The sequence below is a fragment of the Homo sapiens genome, chromosome 9, assembly GCF_000001405.40.
Source record: "Homo sapiens chromosome 9, GRCh38.p14 Primary Assembly".
NCBI lineage: Eukaryota > Metazoa > Chordata > Mammalia > Primates > Hominidae > Homo > Homo sapiens.
The window spans coordinates 34,869,887-34,888,646 of NC_000009.12; the positions used below are offsets into that span (position 1 = coordinate 34,869,887).

General features: G+C 40.4%; 1 protein-coding gene across 6 annotated transcripts in view, besides 1 other annotated feature; it reads left to right on the forward strand.

Moving 5' to 3' along the window:
• PHF24 (PHD finger protein 24) overlaps positions 1-18,760 on the forward strand; it is a 316,938-nt gene that overhangs the window by 204,280 nt on the left and 93,898 nt on the right. The window lies entirely within an intron of this gene.
• Positions 590-1,091: an enhancer, noted in NCBI's record as "NANOG hESC enhancer chr9:34870473-34870974 (GRCh37/hg19 assembly coordinates)". NCBI's record gives its function as "activates a minimal SCP1, AML or CMV promoter by ChIP-STARR-seq in naive H9 embryonic stem cells {active_cell/tissue: H9 hESC(naive)}" and the evidence as "EXISTENCE:reporter gene assay evidence [ECO:0000049][PMID:30033119]".

An 18,760-nucleotide genomic window follows, 5' to 3' on the forward strand; every position in this document is an offset into this window, starting at 1 on the left:
AAGGCAGAAATTCCCAGTTTTCAACCAAAAAAGTAATCATTAGGCATAATTTGTGGCACCTTTGTCATTTCATTTCTTTACAATTTCTTTTTCTTAGAACTTCCTCCAGCACAATGGAGGCCAGTCTTTCTCATCAGGTATTTGTTTTTGTTGTTTTTTTAAATTAATAAGCTTTATTTTTTAGAGCAGTTTTAGGTTCACAGTAAAATTAAGTGGAAAGTACAAAAAGCTTGCATATGCCCCCACCCCAGCAAAACCTTCCCCACTATCAACATCCTGCACTACAGTCCTAAACTTGTTTCCACTGATGAACCTACATTGACACATCATTATCACCCAAAGTCCATCATTTACATTAGAGTTCACTCTTGGGGAAGTGTGCATTCTATGGATTTTGATAAGTATATAATGGATAGTAATACTGCATAAATGTATAAATATATATATTTTGATAAGTGTGAATCGACCCTTGTTAGTATCATGTAGAATAGTTTCACTGCCCAGAAAAAAAAATTCTCTGTGCTCTACCTATTCATTCATCCCTCCCCGTAACCTTTGGCAACTACTTACCCTTTTACTGTCTCCATAGTTTTACCCTTTTCCAGAATGTCATATAATTGGTATTATACAGTATGTAGCCTTTTCAGATTGATTTCGTTCACTTAGCAGTATGTATTTAAGGTTCTTCCATGTCTTTTTTTTTGAGACAGGGTCTCATCCACCCAGGCTAAAGTGCAGTGGTACAATCATGTCTCACTGCAGGCTTGACCTCCTGGACTCAAGCAATCCTCTCAGCTCAGCCTCCCAAGTAACTGGGACCACAGGTGCACACCACTATTCACAATGGCAAAGACATGGAATCAACCCAAAGACCACCTTCCGTGTCTTTTCATGGCTTCATACCTCGTTTCTTTTTAATGCTGAGCAATATTGCATTGTATGGACATACTAAAGTTTATTCATCTATAGAAAGACATCTTGGTTGCTTCCAAGTTTTGGAAATCATGAGTAAAGCTGTTATAAACATCCATGTGGTTTTTGTGTGGCTATAAGTTTTCAATTCATTTGGATAAATACAAAGAAGCTCACTTGCTGGATCATATGGCAAGAATATATTTAGGTTTATAAGAAATTACCAGCCTGTTTTCCAAAGTGTTTGTGCTATTTTCCTACCAGCAATGAACGAGAGTGCCTGTTGCTTCCACATCCTTGCCAGCATTTGCTATTGTCAATGTTTTGGATTTTGGCCATTTTAATAGCTATGTAATCTTGTCTTGTTGTTTTAATTTGCAGTTCCCTAAGGACATATGGTGTGGAACATCTTTTCACATGTTTACTTGCCATCTGTATACCTTCTTTGGTGAGGAGTCCAAGTCTTTTGCCCATTTTTAAATTCAGTTCTTATTTTATTATTGTCGAGTTTTAAGAGTGCTTTGTATACTTTGGATAGCAGTCCTTTACCAGATGTGTATTTTGCAAATATTTTCTTCCAGTATGTGGTGTGTCTTCTCATTCTTTTGACATTGTCTTTCAGAGAGAAGACTTTTTTCATTTTAATGACGTCCAGCTTATCAATTATTTCTTTCACAGATCATGACTTTGATGTTATACCTAAAAAGTCATCATCATACCCAAGGTCCATTAGGTTTTCTCCTATGTTATCTTTTGGGGTTTTTTAGGTTTCTGTTTTATGTTTAGGTCTATGATCCATTTTGAATTAAGTTTTGTAAAGGATGTAAGGTCTGTGTCTAGGTTCATTTTTGCATATTGATGTTCAGTTGTTCCAGCACCATTTTCTCCTTTGTCAAAGATCAGTTATATTTCTGTGGATCTGTTTCTGGGCTCTCTATTCTGTTCCATTGATTTATGTGTTCTTCACCACTACCACACCGTCTTGATTACTGTGGCTTTATAATAAGTCTTGAAGTTGAGTAGTATCAGTCCTCCAACCTTGGTCTTCTCCTTCCATGTTGAGATAGTCTTTTACCTCTCCATCTAAACTTTAGAAGCAATTTGTCATTATCCATAAAATAGCTGCTGGAATTTTTATTGGGATTGCATCAAAGCTGTAGATCAAGTTGTGAAGAACTGAGATCTTGACAATATTGTCTTCCTATTCATGAATGTTGAATATCTTTCCATTTATTTAGTTCTTCCTTGATATCTTTCATCAGGGTTTTGCATATGTATATATTTATTTGTTTTCCTCATAAAGATCTGGTACATAGTTTGTTAGGTTTATACCTATGTATTTCTTTTTTCCTTTTGAGTGCCAATGTAAACAGCAATTTATTTTTATTTTTATTATTTTTTTATTTTTTATTTTTTTATTATTATACTTTAAGTTTTAGGGTACATGTGCACATTGTGCAGGTTAGTTACATATGTATACATGTGCCATGCTGGTGCGCTGCACCCACTAACTCTTCATCTAGCATTAGGTATATCTCCCAATGCTATCCCTCCCCCCTCCCCCCACCCCACAACAGTCCCCAGAGTGTGATATTCCCCTTCCTGTGTCCATGTGATCTCATTGTTCAGTTCCCACCTATGAGTGAGAATATGCGGTGTCTGGTTTTTTGTTCTTGCGATAGTTTACTGAGAATGATGATTCCCAATTTCACCCATGTCCCTACAAAGGACATGAACTCATCATTTTTTATGGCTGCATAGTATTCCATGGTGTATATGTGCCACATTTTCTTAATCCAGTCTATCATTGTTGGACATTTGGGTTGGTTCCAAGTCTTTGCTATCGTGAATAATGCCGCAATAAACATACGTGTGCATGTGTCTTTATAGCAGCATGATGTATAATCCTTTGGGTATATACCCAGTAATGGGATGGCTGGCTCAAATGGTATTTCCAGTTCTAGATCCCTGAGGAATCGCCACACTGACTTCCACAATGGTTGAACTAGTTTACAGTCCCACCAACAGTGTAAAAGTGTTCCTATTTCTCCACATCCTCTCCAGCACCTGTTGTTTCCTGACTTTTTAATGATTGCCATTCTAACTGGTGTGAGATGGTATCTCATTGTGGTTTTGATTTGCATTTCTCTGATGGCCAGTGATGAGCATTTTTTCATGTGTTTTTTGGCTGCATAAATGTCTTCTTTTGAGAAGTGTCTGTTCATGTCCTTTGCCCACTTTTTGATGGGGTTGTTTGTTTTTTTCTTGTAAATTTGTTTGAGTTCATTGTAGATTCTGGATATTAGCCCTTTGTCAGATGAGTAGGTTGTGAAAATTTTCTCCCATTCTGTAGGTTGCCTGTTCACTCTGATGGTAGTTTCTTTTGCTGTGCAGAAGCTCTTTAGTTTAATTAGATCCCATTTGTCAATTTTGGCTTTTGTTGCCTTTGCTTTTGGTGTTTTAGACATGAAGTCCTTGCCCATGCCTATGTCCTGAATGGTATTGCCTAGGTTTTCTTCTAGGGTTTTTATGGTTTTAGGTCTAACATGTAAGTCTTTAATCCATCTTGAATTAATTTTTGTATAAGGTGTAAGGAAGAGATCCAGTTTCAGCTTTCTACATATGGCTAGCCAGTTTTCCCAGCACCATCTATTAAATAGGGAATCCTTTCCCCATTTCTTGTTTTTGTCAGGTTTGTCAAAGATCAGATGGTTGTAGATATGCGGCATTATTTCTGAGGGCTCTGTTCTGTTCCATTGATCTATATCTCTGTTTTGGTAACAGTACCATGCTGTTTTGGTTACTGTAGCCTTGTAGTATAGTTTGAAGTCAGGTAGCGTGATGCCTCCAGCTTTGTTCTTTTGGCTTAGGATTGACTTGGTGGTGTGGGCTCTTTTTTGGTTCCATATGAACTTTAAAGTAGTTTTTTCCAATTCTGTGAAGAAAGTCATTGGTAGCTTGATGGGGATGGCATTGAATCTATAAATTACCTTGGGCAGTATGGCCATTTTCATGATATTGATTCTTCCTACCCATGAGCATGGAATGTTCTTCCATTTGTTTGTATCCTCTTTTATTTCATTGAGCAGTGGTTTGTAGTTCTCCTTGAAGAGGTCCTTCACATCTGGTTGGATTCCTAGGTATTTTATTCTCTTTGAAGCAATTGTGAATGGAAGTTCACTCATGATTTGGCTGTTTGTCTGTTACTGGTGTATAAGAATGCTTGTGATTTTTGCACATTGATTTTGTATCCTGAGACTTTGCTGAAGTTGCTTATCAGCTTAAGGAGATTTTGGGCTGAGACAATGGGGTTTTCTAGATATACAATCATGTCATCTGCAAACAGGGACAATTGGACTTCCTCTTTTCCTAATTGAATACCCTTTATTTCCTTCTCCTGCCTAATTGCCCTGGCCAGCACTTCCAACATTATGTTGAATAGGAATGGTGAGAGAGGGCATCCCTGTCTTGTGCCGGTTTTCAAAGGGAATCCTTCCAGTTTTTGCCCATTCAGTATGCAGAAAAGGCCTTTGACAAAATTCAACAACCTTTCATGCTAAAAACTCTCAATAAATTAGGTATTAATGGGACGTATCTCAAAATAACAAGGGATATGCTTTTTCAATCCACTCGTTTCTCACCTCTTTCTGGAGTTTCTTATATGTACCCCACTGCCTGCCCAGGATCTAACCAATTCACCATTTGAGATTTGTTGCTCCAGACATTTTGTTCCTGTTGGATTGACTCTGTTTTTTTCTCTTTGTTATAGCATGAGTATATCACAAGTTATTTAGTAATTCCCCTAATAGGGGGAATTACTAAATAAGTTGTTTCTGCCTCTTAATCACCATAAACAATGCTCCAACAAACATTCATTTAGATATGCCTGCAGGTCAGAAAGGATCAGCCTCTCACATAGCACAGGGTTTTATCCAGTCAAAGGTAAGTTAGTAGTGTCCGTTTTCACTAGACCTTTCAATCACACAGACTCTTCTTAAATTTTTATTATTATTTTTTAAAATTTTTGTGGGTACATAGTAAGTGTATATATTTAAGGGGTACTTGAGATGTTTTCATACAGGCATGCAATATGAAATAGGCACGTCATGGAGAATGGGGCATCTGTCCCCTCAAGCATTTATCCTTTGGGTTACAAACAATCTAATCTAATTATTAACACATTTTTCAAGTTATTTTAAAATATACAATTATTACTGATTATAGTCACCTTATTGTGCTATCAAATAGTAGGTCTTATTAATTAATTCTATCTTTTTGAACCCATGAACCATTTTCACCTTCCTCTCAAACCCCACATCCTTCCCAGCCTCTGGTAACCATCCTACTCTATATCTGTGAGTTCAATTTATTTGATTTTTAGATTCCACAAAAAAGTGAGAATATACTATCACACACTCTTAAGCTTGAGAATTCTGTTCTTGCATCACTGCAGTCAAGGACAAAGCTTACCTATACTCCACAATATTCTTCTTGTCTTTTAGAGGTAACCAACTTTAAACAAAATGACAAAAGTGTATTTCTTTAATAAAAAATGTAAAATGATCCTAAGGCTGTATTTTTCAAACTGCAGGTCCAGGCCTATTATTGTCACAAAATCATTTTAGAGAGTCACCTTTAGAGATTTTTTTTATTGAAATATGATAGAAAATATTAGAGAGCATCACATATAATAAAAGTAGGATTGTTTCACAAAACTTTGAATTCAGTTACAGATCTATAAACATTTATAAAAATATACGGCAGGATCATTTCATAAATTATATTTCTTACTATGGGTCACAGTCACTACATAGTCACAGTGAAAAAAATGGAAAAACATACCGTGAAAGATTTCTGAGGAAAGCACTGGAGCCTTGACAATTTAATTGGTCATGTGGAATGTATGCAGTGAAGGATTGTGTTCAGTTTTACATTCTTCCACCAGGTGTGTCGGTTCCTCTCAGGTGGGGACATGCTTCCTCACCTAATCATAGAGCACATCTGGTGCTCATGAGGCATGTGGGCAGTGTCTGGGGCCTATCGACCCAGCCTCTCATTTCAAGAACCTCCTAGGTCAATAGCCTAAGCAAAAGCTCGTCTCTCTCTCTTACACACACACACACACACACACACACACACACACACACACACACTCTCTCTCTCTCTCTCTCTCTCTCTCTCTCTCTCTCACTCCTTCCAAGTCCCTAGCTGGATATTCCAGTTAGGTCCATGGACTTTTAAAAAGAATTTGAAAGAAAGCATGAGCATTCCAGATGTTTATGACAGAAAGGGATCTCTGTGACTCTCGGATCCAATACACTTACCATATGACCTAGCAATTAAAGCTCCTTTGTATTTACCCCAAAAATTGAAAACCTATATCCACACAAAAACCTGCACATGGATGTTTATCGCAGCTTTATTCATGATTGCCAAAACTTGGAAGCAACCGAGATGTCCTTCAGTAGATGAACAGATAAACTGTGGTATATCCATGCAATGGAATATGACTCAGCATTAAAAAGAAATGAGGTGTCACACCATGAAAAGACATGGAAGAACCTTAAGTACATATTACTAAGTGAAGAAGTCAATCTGAAAAGGCTACATACTGTATGGTTCCAACTATATGACATTCTGGAGAGGGCAAAACTATGGAGACAGTAAAAAGATCCATAGTCAACAACAAAAATCTCAAAAGGCCCAATTCAAAAATGGGCAATGTGTTCAAATAGACAGACAGTCTCCAAAGAAGATACACAGATGGCAATAAGCACATGAAAAGATGCTCAACATCATTACTCATTAGAGAAATGCAAATCAACACCACAATTATACACCATACCACTTAGAATGACTATTATTAAAAAAAAGAAAGAAAGAAAGAAAGTGTTCTGTAGGATGAAAAGAAATTGAAACCCTGGTGCATTGCTGGTGGGAATGTAAAATGGTACAGCCATTTGAAGAAACCAGTTTGGCAATTCCTCTATTAATTACCATAATGATTCAGCAATTTTACTCCTGGGTATATACCCAAAGGAAAACAAAGCAGGGACTCAGATACTTCCACACCGATGTTCATAGTAGCATTATTCACAATAGTCAAAAGGTGGAAACAAAGATGAAATGGATAAACAAAATGTGGTATATACATACAATGGAATATTATTTGCCATAAAAAGGAACAAAATTCTGACATGTGGCCAGGCATGGTGGCTCACATCTGTAATCCCAGCACTTTGGGAGGCCAAGGTGGGCAGATCACCTGAGGTCAGGCGTTCGTGACCAGCCTGGCAACATGACGAAACCCTGTCTCTACTGAAAATACAAAAATTGGCTGGGTGTGGTGGCACACGCCTATAATCCCAGCTACTCGGGAGGCTGAGGCAGGAGAATCTCTTGAACCCAGGAGGCAGCGGTTGCAGTGAGCCAAGATCACACCACTGCACTCCAGCCTGAGCAACAGAGCCAGACTCTGTCTCAAAAAAAAAAAAAAAAGAAAAAGAAATTCTGACACGTTCAACATGGATAAACCTTGAAAACATTACACTAAGTGAAATAAGCCAGACACAAAAGGACAAATATTGTATGATTTCACTTATATGAGATACTTAGAATAGGCAAATTCTCAGAGACAGAAAGTGGAATTGAGGTTACCAGGGTCTCAGGGTTTTGGGGAGGGATGAGGGAGTTATTGTTTAGTAGGTACAGAGTTTCTGTTTGGTATGATGAAAAAGCGTTTGAAATAGATAGTGGTGGTGGTCACACAACATTGTGAATGTATTTAATGCCAACAAATTCTACACTTAAAAATGGCTAAAATGGTATGCTTTGTGTTATATATATTTTTACCATAATTTTTTTTAATGCTCAGTGATTACCAGGGATTTGGGGGAAGGGAGAGAGGGACTGAATAGGTAGAACACAGGGGATTTTTTTTTATATACTTTAAGTTCTGGGGTACATGTGCAGAATGTGCAGTTTTGTTACATAGGTATACAGGTGCTACAGTGGTTTGCTGCACCCATCAACCCATCACCTACATTAGGTATTTCTCTTAATGCTATCCCTCCCCTATCTCCCCCTCCCTGACAGACCGTGATGTGTGCTGTTCCCCTCCCTGGAGCACAGGGGGTTTTTAGGCCAGTGAAATTATTCAGTATGATACTGTAATGGTTGATACATGTCATTATACATTGGTCAGAACCCACAGCATGTATAACACAAAAAGTGAACCCCAATGTAAATGACAGGCTTTAGTTAATAATAATGTATCAATATTGGCTCCTCAATTGTAACAAATGTATTACAGTAATGCAATATGTTAATAATAAGGGAAAGTGTGTATGTGGGCCAGTGGCAGGAGGGGAATATATAGGAACTCTCCATACTCCACTCAATTTTTCTGCAGACCTAAAACTGCTCTAAAGAATAAATTTTTTAAGGTTCTGGTTCCAAGATGGCCAAATAGGAACACCTCCAGTCTACAGCTCCCAGCGTGAGTGACACAGAAGACAGGTGATTTCTGCATTTCCAACTGAGGTACCGGGTTCATCTCACTAGGGCTTGTCGGACAGTGGGTGCAGCCCATGGAGTGTGAGTTGAAGCAGGGCGGGGCATTGCCTCACCTGGGAAGCGCAAGGGGTGGGGGAATTCCCTTTCCTAGCCAAGGGAAGCCGTGACAGACAGTAGCTGGAAAATCGGGACACTCTCACCCTAATACTGTGCTTTTCCAATGGTCTTCGCAAACGGCACACCAGAAGACTATATCCCACACCTGGCTCAGAGGGTCCCACGCCCATGGAGCCTCACTCACTGCTAGAACAGCAGTCTGAGATTGAACTGCAAGGCAGCAGCAAGGCTGGGGGAGGGGCGTCCGCCATTGCTGAGGCTTGAGTAGGTAAACAAAGCGGCTAGAAAGCTCGAAATGGGTGGAGCCCACCACAGCTCAAGGAGGCCTGCCTGCCTCTGTAGACTTCACGTCTGGGGGCAGGGCATAGCAGAATAAAAGGAGCAGAAACTTCTGCAGACTTAAACATCCCTGTCTGACAGCTTTGAAGAGAGTAGTCGTTCTTCCAGCACAGAGCTTGAGATCTGAAAACAGACAGACTGCCTCCTCAAGTGGGTCCCCCCAGTAGCCTAACTGGGAGACACCTCCCAGTAGGGGCCGACTGACACCTCATACAGCCAGGTGCCCTTTGAGATGAAGCTTCCAGAGGAAGGATCAGGTGGCAACAGTTGCCATTCTGCAATATTTGCTGTTCTGCAGCCTCCGCTGGTGATACCCAGGCAAACAGGGTCTGGAGTGGACCTCCAGCAAACTCCAACAGACCTGCAGCTGAGAGTCCTGACTGTTAGAAGGAAAACTAACAAACAGAAAGAACATCCACACCAAAACCCCATCTGTAGGTCACCATCATCAAAGACCAAAAGAAGATAAAACCACAAAGATGGGGAGAAACCAGAGCAGAAAAGCTGAAATTCTAAAAATCAGAGCACCCCTTCTCCTCCAAAGGAATGCAGCTCCTCACCAGCAACAGAACAAAGCTGGACAGAGAATGACTTTGATGAGTTGAGAGAAGAAGGCTTCAGATGATAGGTAATAACAAACTTCTCCAAGCTAAAGGAAGATATTCGAACCCATCACAAAGAAGCTAAAAACCTTGAAAAAAGATTAGACGAATGGCTAACTAAACAGTATAGACCTTAAATGACCTGATGGAGCTGAAAACCATGGCACAGGAACTACGTGACGTGTGCACAAGCTTCAGTAGCTGATTCGATCAAGTGGAAGAAAAGGTATCAGTGATTGAAGATCAAATGAATGAAATGAAGCGAGAAGAGAAGTTTAGAGAAAAAAGAGTAAAAAGAAACAAAACCTCCAAGAAATATGGGACTATGTGAAAAGACCAAATCTATGTCTGACTGGTGTACCTGAAAGAGACGGGGAGAATGGAACCAAGTTGGAAAACACTCTTCAGGATATTATCCAGGAGAACTTCCCCAATCTAGCAAGGCAGGCCAACATTCACATTCAGGAAATACAGAGAACGCCACAAAGATACTCCTCGAGAAGAGCAACTCCAAGACACATAATTATCAGATTCACCAAAGTTGAAATGAAGGAAAAAATATTAAGGGTAGCCAGAGAGAAAGGTCAGGTTACCCACAAAGGGAAGCCCATCAGACTAACAGCAGATATCTCAGCAGAAACTCTACAAGCCAGAAGAGAGTGGGGGCCAATATTCAACATTCTTAAAGAAAAGAATTTTCAACCCAGAATTTCATATCCAGCCAAACTAAGCTTCATAAGTGAAGGAGAAATAAAATCCTTTACAGACAAGCAAATACTGAGAGATTTTGTCACCACCAGGCCTGCCTTACAAGAGCTCCTGAAGGAAGCACTAAACATGGAAAGGAACAACCGGTACCAGCCACTGCAAAAACGTGCCAAATTGTAAAGACCATCGATGCTAGGAAGAAACTGCATCAACTAACGAGCAAAATAACCAGCTAACATCATAATGACAGGATCAAATTTACACATAACAATATTAACCTTAAATGTAAATGTAAATGGGCTAAATGCTCCAATTAAAAGACACAGACTGGCAAATTGGATAAAGAATCAAGACCCATCAGTGTGCTGTATTCAGGAAACCCATCTCATGTGCAGAGACACACATAGGCTCAAAATAAAGGGATGAAGGAAGATCTACCAAGCAAGTGGAAAACAAAAAAAAGCAGGGGTTGCAGTCCTAGTCTCTTATAAAACAGACTTTAAACCAACAAAGATCAAAAGAGACAAAGAAGGCCATTACATAATGGTAAAGAGATCAGTTCAACAAGAAGAGCTAACTATTGTAAATATATATACACCCAATACAGGAGCACCCAGATTCATAAAGCAAGTCCTTAGAGACCTACAAAGAGACTTAGACTCCCACACAATAATAATGGGAGGCTTTAACACCCCACTGTCAACATTAGACAGATCAACGAGACAGAACATTAACAAGGATGTCCAGGAATTGAACTCAGCTCTGCACCAAGCAGACCTAATAGATATCTACAGAACTCTCCACCCCAAATCAACAGAATGTACATTATTCTCAGCACCACATTGCACTTATTCCAAAGTTGACCACATAGTTGGAAGTAAAGCACACTCCTCAGCAAATGTAAAAAAACAGAAATTATAACAAATTGTCTCTCAGACCACAGTGCAATCAAAGTAGAACTTAGGATTAAGAAACTCGCTCAAAACCACTCAGCTACATGGAAACTGAACAACCTGCTCCTGAATGACTACTGGGTACATAATGAAATGAAGGCAGAAATAAAGATGTTCTTTGAAACCAATGAGAACAAAGACCCAACATACCAGAATCTCTGGGACACATTTAAAGCAATGTTTAGAAGGAAATTTATAGCACTAAATGCCCACAAGAGAAAGCAAGAAAGATCTAAAACTGACACCCTAACATCACAATTAAAAGAACTAGAGAAGCAAGAGCAAACACATTCAAAAGCTAGCAGAAGGCAAGAAATAACTAAGATCAGAGCAGAACTGAAGGAGATAGAGACACAAAAAACCCTTCAAAAAAATCAATGAATCCAGGAGCTGGTTTTTTGAAAAGATCAACAAAATTGATATACTGCTAGCAAGACTAATAAAGAAGAAAAGAGAGAAGAATCAAATAGACGCAATAAAAAATGATAAAGGGGATATCACCACCGATCCCACAGAAATACAAACTATCATCAGAGAATACTATAAACACCTCTACACAAATAAACTAGAAAATCTAGAAGAAATGGATAAATTTCTGGACACATACACCCTCCCAAGACTAAACCAGGAAGAAGTTGAATCTCTGAATAGACCAATAACAGGCTCTGAAATTGAGGCAATAATTAATAGCCTACCAACCAAAAAAAAGTCCAGGACCAGATGGATTCACAGCCAAATTCTACCAGAGGTACAAAGAGGAGCTGGTACCATTCCTTCTGAAACTATTCCAATCAATAGAAAAAGAGGGAATCCTCCCTAATTCATTTGATGAGGCCAGCATCATCCTGATACCAAAGCCTGACAGCGACACAACAAAAACAGAGAATTTTAGACCAATATCCCTGATGAATATTGATGCAAAAATCCTCAATAAAATACTGGCAAACCAAATCCAGCAGCACATCAAAAAGCTTATCCACCACAATCAAGTTGGTTTCATCCCTGGGATGCAAGGCTGTTGCAACATATGCAAATCAATAAACGTAATCCATCATATAAACAGAACCAAAGACAAAAACCACATGATTATCTCAATAGATGCAGAAAAGGCCTTTGACAAAATCTAACAGCCATTCATGCTAAAAACTCTCAATAAATTAGGTATTGATGGGACGTATCTCAAAATAATAAGAGCTATTTATGACAAACCCACAGCCAATATCGTACTGAATGGGCAAAAACTGGAAGCATTCCCTTTGAAAACTGGCACAAGACAAGGATGCCCTCTCTCACCACTCCTATTCAACATAGTGTTGGAAGTTCTGGCCAGGGCAATCAGGCAGGAGAAAGAAATAAAGGGTTTTCAATTAGGAAAAGAGGAAGTCCAGTTGTCCCTGTTTGCAGATGACATGATTGTATATTTAGAAAACCTCATCATCTCAGCCCAAAATCTCCTTAAGCTGATAAGCAACTTCAGCAAAGTCTCAGAATACAAAATCAATACGCAAAAATCACAAGTATTCCTGTACACCAGTAACAGACAAACAGAGAGCCAAATCATGAGTGAACTCCTGTTCACAATTGCTTCAAACAGAATAAAATACCTAGGAATCTAACTTATAAGAGATGTGAAGGACCTCTTCAAGGAGAACTACAAACTACTGCTCAACGAAATAAAAGAGGACACAAACAAATGGAAGAACATTCCATGCTCATGGATAGGAAGAATCAGTATCATGAAAATGGCCATACTGCCCAAGGTAATTTATAGATTCAATGCCATCCCCATCAAGCTACCAATGACTTTCTTCACAGAACTGGAAAAAACTACTTTAAAGTTCGTGTGGAAGCAAAGAAGGGCCCACATTGCCAAGACAATCCTAAGCCAAAAGAACAAAGCTGGAGGCATCACGCTACCTGACTTCAAACTATACTACAAGGCTACAGTAACCAAAACAGCATGATACTGGTACCAAAACAGAGATATAGATCAATGGAACAGAACAGAGCCCTCAGAAATAATGCCGCATATCTACAACTATCTGATCTTTGACAAACCTGAGAAAAACAAGCAATGGGGAAAGGATTCCCTATTTAATAGATGGTGCTGGGAAAACTGGCTAGCCATATGTAGAAAGCTGAAACTGGATCCCTTCCTTACACCTTATACAAAAATTAATTCAAGATGGATTAAAGACTTACATGTTAGACCTAAAACCATAAAAACCCTAGAAGAAAACCGAGGCAATACCATTCAGGACATAGGCATGGGCAAGGACTTCATGACTAAAACACCAAAAGCAATAGCAACAAAAGCCAAAATTGACAAATGGGATCTAATTAAACTAAAGAGCTTCTGCACAGCAAAAGAAACTACCATCAGAGTGAACAGGCAACCTACAAAATGGGAGAAAATTTTTACAGTCTACCCATCTGACAAAGGGCTAATATCCAGAATCTACAATGAACTCAAACAAATTTACAAGAAAAAATCAAACAATCCCATCAAAAAGTGGGTGAAGGATATGAACAGACACTTCTCAAAAGAAGACATTTATGCAGCCAACAGACACATGAAAAAATGCTCATCATCACTGGCCATCAGAGAAATGCAAATCAATACCACAATGAGATACCATCTCACACCAGTTACAATGGTGATCATTAAAAAGTCAGGAAACAACAGGTGCTGGAGAGGATGTGGAGAAATAGGAACACTTTTACACTGTTGGTGGGACTGTAAACTAGTTCAACCATTGTGGAAGACAGTGTGGCGATTCCTCAAGGATCTAGAACTAGAAATACCATTTGAGCCAGCCATCCCATTACTGGGTATATACCCAAAGGATTATAAATCATGCTGCTATAAAGACACATGCACACGTATGTTTATTGCAGCACTATTCACAATAGCAAAGACTTGGAACCAGCCCAAATGTCCATCAGTGATAGACTGGATTAAGAAAATGTGGCACATATACACCATGGAATACTATGCAGTCATAAAAAAGGGTGAGTTCATGTTCTTTGTTTGGACATGGATGAAGCTGGAAACCATCCTTCCGAGAAAACTATCACGAGGACAGAAAACCAAGCACCGCATGTTCTCACTCATAGATGGGAATTGAACAATGAAAACACTTGGATACAGGGTGGGGAACATCACACACCAGGGTCTGTCATGGAGTTGGGGGAGTGGGGAGGGATAGCATTAGGAGATATACCTAATATACCTAATGTAAATGACGAGTTAATGGGTGCAGCACACCAACAGGGCACATATATACATATGTAACAAACCTGCACATTGTGCACATGTACCCTAGAACTTAAAGCATTTAAAAAAAGAATAATTTTTTAAAAATAAGACCACAGTATGAGTATTTTTATAACAGCTTTTTGGACTACTGTGTTCATACATTATTAACGTCTTTCCAGGGATTCAGCCTGGACAGGCAAGGACAAATATAGGGTGATGATAGGAAGGTTAACTAAAGGATAATGAGGCTGCTGGAAGAGGATGAGACTCAGAGCATGTGGAAATTTAGGGGCAGAGGATGTTTTCTAGTCCTTCTAGACTTTTACCCCAAGCCCCACAGAGGAGAGGGACTAGAATTTGAGTGGATGAGTGGAGATAACTGAGCCCTTGTGTCTGAGGATCTCCAACAAGATGGAATTTTGAGCAGAGCAAGGAGTTTCTGCTCCTGCTCAGGGACTCCCAGTCCCTGGAGGGTGGCAAGAGGGTGGCATGACAGGACTGAACAAAACAAGGTGATGCTTCCACTTTCACTTCTGCACTCAGCATATTCTATGACTTCCCTGCTAGGGGTGAGCAGGTACAAAAGTCGAGCAATCATGGTGGCCAGTTGCCTGAAATTACCATAATCAAAATCTGCTGGGGCATGTAGGAGCCTGTGGGGGACCAGGGGAAGGACCTGCTCCACCCACCCTAAACCAAGATGTGTGTACATTAACCCCGGATTCCCACTTCATGCTGCTGTGACCCTTCTGAGTCACTTTCTTTCACTCTGTGTCTTCCTCCTACATGGCTTTCTGCCCAACTCCCACTAGGCAGGCAGGATGTGCTTAACACAAAACCTCCTTTGATCTTTGGGGATGCTTTAGGCAAATACCTGTTAAGTGTTGGCTCAGTAGGCCTAGACCTTGTGACTTCATGGCCTGGAGGCCATCTAGGGACTGGGCCCCCATCCCTTAGGCACAGAACCATCATTCAGAGGACAGACACATCCATGCTTCTTCCTATCTGGGCTTTCTGCATCTTTTCAGAAGGACACATTATGCTTAACGCTGAGGTCCTGTCCGAGGAAGAAAGTCCTGCCACCTCCTCCTTCTGATGATGGGATGATGGATAATCCTGGATCTCCTTAGGAACCAGGGGCATCCCAACTGTCTCTCACAACATGTCATAAAGAAGTCATTTCACTTCTTGCCCTTTCTTCAGCTCTTGGCTCCTCTGCGGTAGGTTGGAAGCAGAATGCAAAGGTGCCACCCTCTGAGGAATATCAGGTGGCCAAAGCAGAGGTCCCTCCCATCTGCTCAAGGCAGCCTCTGTCTTCCTGCTTCCCAGTCCACTTCTCCCACCCAGATAGCCTCCCTGGTCCTTTACCTCACTAAGCACTAGGAAGCCACCCCTGCCCTGTTTCTCCATCTCCAGCCCCATGCTCTTGCTCAGGCTCCATGCATTTAGAGCTTTCTCTGTGATCTCTCCTGCTGGTACAGTGTTCCAAGAGCACCTGCTGCACAGATATCAGCAGCAGGCTTTGACCACCTTTCCCTGCCCACCTACACTCTCACACTGCCACCAACTGCTTGGGCCCTAATAGTAACTTTCAGAATCTCTCTCCACACCCAGCTCTCTGGCTTTGGTTCTCCATACCATTCCCCCTGCCCATACCCATGGTCCCTTCCTAGCTCCTCACTCGTCCCTCTGGGTCTGTGCCCACACTCCCTTATATGTGGAGGAATTCTTTCTTCTTCTAATCCATTATCTCCTCCATCATTAACTCTACTTCTCCCTACCAGCAGAAAAATGTCTGCTTTTAGTAAAATCCAGCTCCTTGACTTGGGTACTTGCCCCCCACTTCTTCACTTCCACACCACAGCGTTCTTCCAGAAATTCTCCCCTTGCTGTCTTGCTTATCCCTCTTGACTGGATCTTTTCTATCACCATCCAACCATCCAACAGACTAAATCTCCTGTCTTAAAAAAAAAAAAAAAACTCCTTCTGGATCCCACTCTCCCCTCCTTCACCTCTATGAAACAAAAGTCCTTGAAAGAGTTGATTACACTTGCTGTCACCAACTGCTCTTCTTCCATTATCTCTTGAATCCACTCCAGTCACATCGGTTCCTCCACCTGAGGCTATTCTTCTCAGGGTCATTAGTGATCTTTATATTGCTAAATCTAATGGTCAACTACAAGTCCGCATCTTAATTGACTGATTGGCAACTTGTCATTCCATTGGTCACCTTCTCCTTAAAACACTTTCCTTTCTTGGCTTCCAGTATGACACTCTTCTAGCTTTCCTCCTGTCTTGCTGGCTGCTGTGTCTCAGTCTCCTCTGCCTACTGGTTCTTCCTCTTCTTCTCAATCTTTTAACATTAAAGAGTCCCAGAGACCAGTCCTTAGATCTCTTTCATTTACACTCACTCCCTTCGTGGTCATATCTAGTCTCATGGTTTTATATCTATCTATCTATCTATCTGTCTGTCTGTCTGTCTGTCTGTCTACTCTGTCTATCTACTCTATCTATGTATCTATCTATGTATCTATGTATCTATGTATCTATCTATCTATCTATCTATCTATCTCTGGCTGTCTATCTGCCTGGAGTCTGGGCTCTTCCCTGAACTCCAGGCTCAAATGCCCAAATTGTCTAAGCAACATACGTTATCTAAGCAACATATACATCTCAAACAATACAAATGTGAACTCCTGACTCCCCTTCTCCCACCATCATCACCCAGTAACACCAAACCTACTCCAATGTCAGTATTTCCCACATCAATTAATGGCAACTTCATCCTGCCAGTTGTTCAGGGCAAAAACTTTGGTGCCATCCTTGACATTTTTTTTTCTCTAATTGTCCACATCCAATCTATCAGTAAATCCTATTGTCTCTACCTTCAAAGTGAACCCAGCATCTAAATGCCTGTAATCTCCTCTGCTGCTATAATTACCGGAGTAACCTTACAACTAATCTCCCTGCTTCTACTCAAATCTATACCCCCAATGCTCTTATTTTTAGCACTATGACCTAAGTGATCCTTTAAGACATAAGTCAGATCTAAGCAGACCCCCTAATAGCTCCCCAATTTACTCAAAGTAAGAGCCAGCTTCCTTGCTGGCTTTCTACCAGGCCTTATACCATGTGGCCCCTTACCACTGGAGTCATCCTCTACCACTTTCTCCCTTTATTCCTTTATTACTCTGCTTTAGGTTCACTGGCTTCCTTGTTCCTTCTGACAGGCTGGGCATCCTCCAACCTCCAGGCATCTGCATTAGCTGTAATTTCTGACTGGAATGCTCTTCCTCGTTTACCCACGTGGTTTACTCGCTTATCACCCTCAAGTCCTTGCTGACATTTTAATTTCCTAGTGATACCTTCCCTGAGCTCCTTATTTAAAACTGTATCCCTTTTGAAGTCTTCTCTAATCCCATTACCCTGATTTTTTTGCATATATCTGGTCACCTTCTATATACTATGTTTTTTATTTATACTTCTTTTCTCTTCCTCCCAGGCATGCTCCCAACGTAAGTTCCTTGAGAGAGCAGATTTTTTTTTCCTCTTATGTTCACTGCTGTATTCCCAGTGCCTATAAAAGTGCCTGGCATATAATAGGTGCTCAATATTTATTGAAGGAATGAAGAATGGGTGAAAGAATGCCATTCATTCTCCAGCTTGGCAACCTCATTCTGATCCCTTAAACATTTTACTGTGTTTTTTTTTTAATTATTATACAGGGGTTTCTCCAGTGAGTCACTATTCTCTGACACGGCATGCTGTTGTTTGATGCCATGCCTCTGTTCATGTTGTACTCTCAGCCTGGGAAAGCCTCTCTACTCCCTACCTCCTTCCCAACTAATGCCTGCTCATCCTTTAGAACTCAACTTACATATCATCTCTTCTAGGAAACTTTCCGTGAACATTCCCCAAAACTAGATTAAGTGCCCTCCTATGTACTTTCATCTTATTGCTTCTAATGACTTTTTATATGACTGTCTATCCCAGAGTTCATGAGCTTTTTCAGACAAGGCCTGTGTATCGTTCACTGTTATCTCTGTAGTGCCTGGCATAGTGCCTGCCACATAGCAAGTACTTGAATATTTGAATTGTTGAATGCAAGACTCAGCCCAAAGTTGTTTTTATTGTGACCCTTTTAGGGATCTCTTCATCAACTAGTCTTCATTCTAGGCAGCATTCTTTCCATGCAAATGAAAGGCAATGGAGGTTGGAACAGGCAACAGGACTAGAGTGGGCTCTCAGTTGGGTTACCCTTAAAGATCTCAGTAACAACAGAGAAAAGACAGGGAGATTCTATCATCTGGTTTTGACATCTGTCATATTAGCTGTGTGCTTTTGATAAACATTCC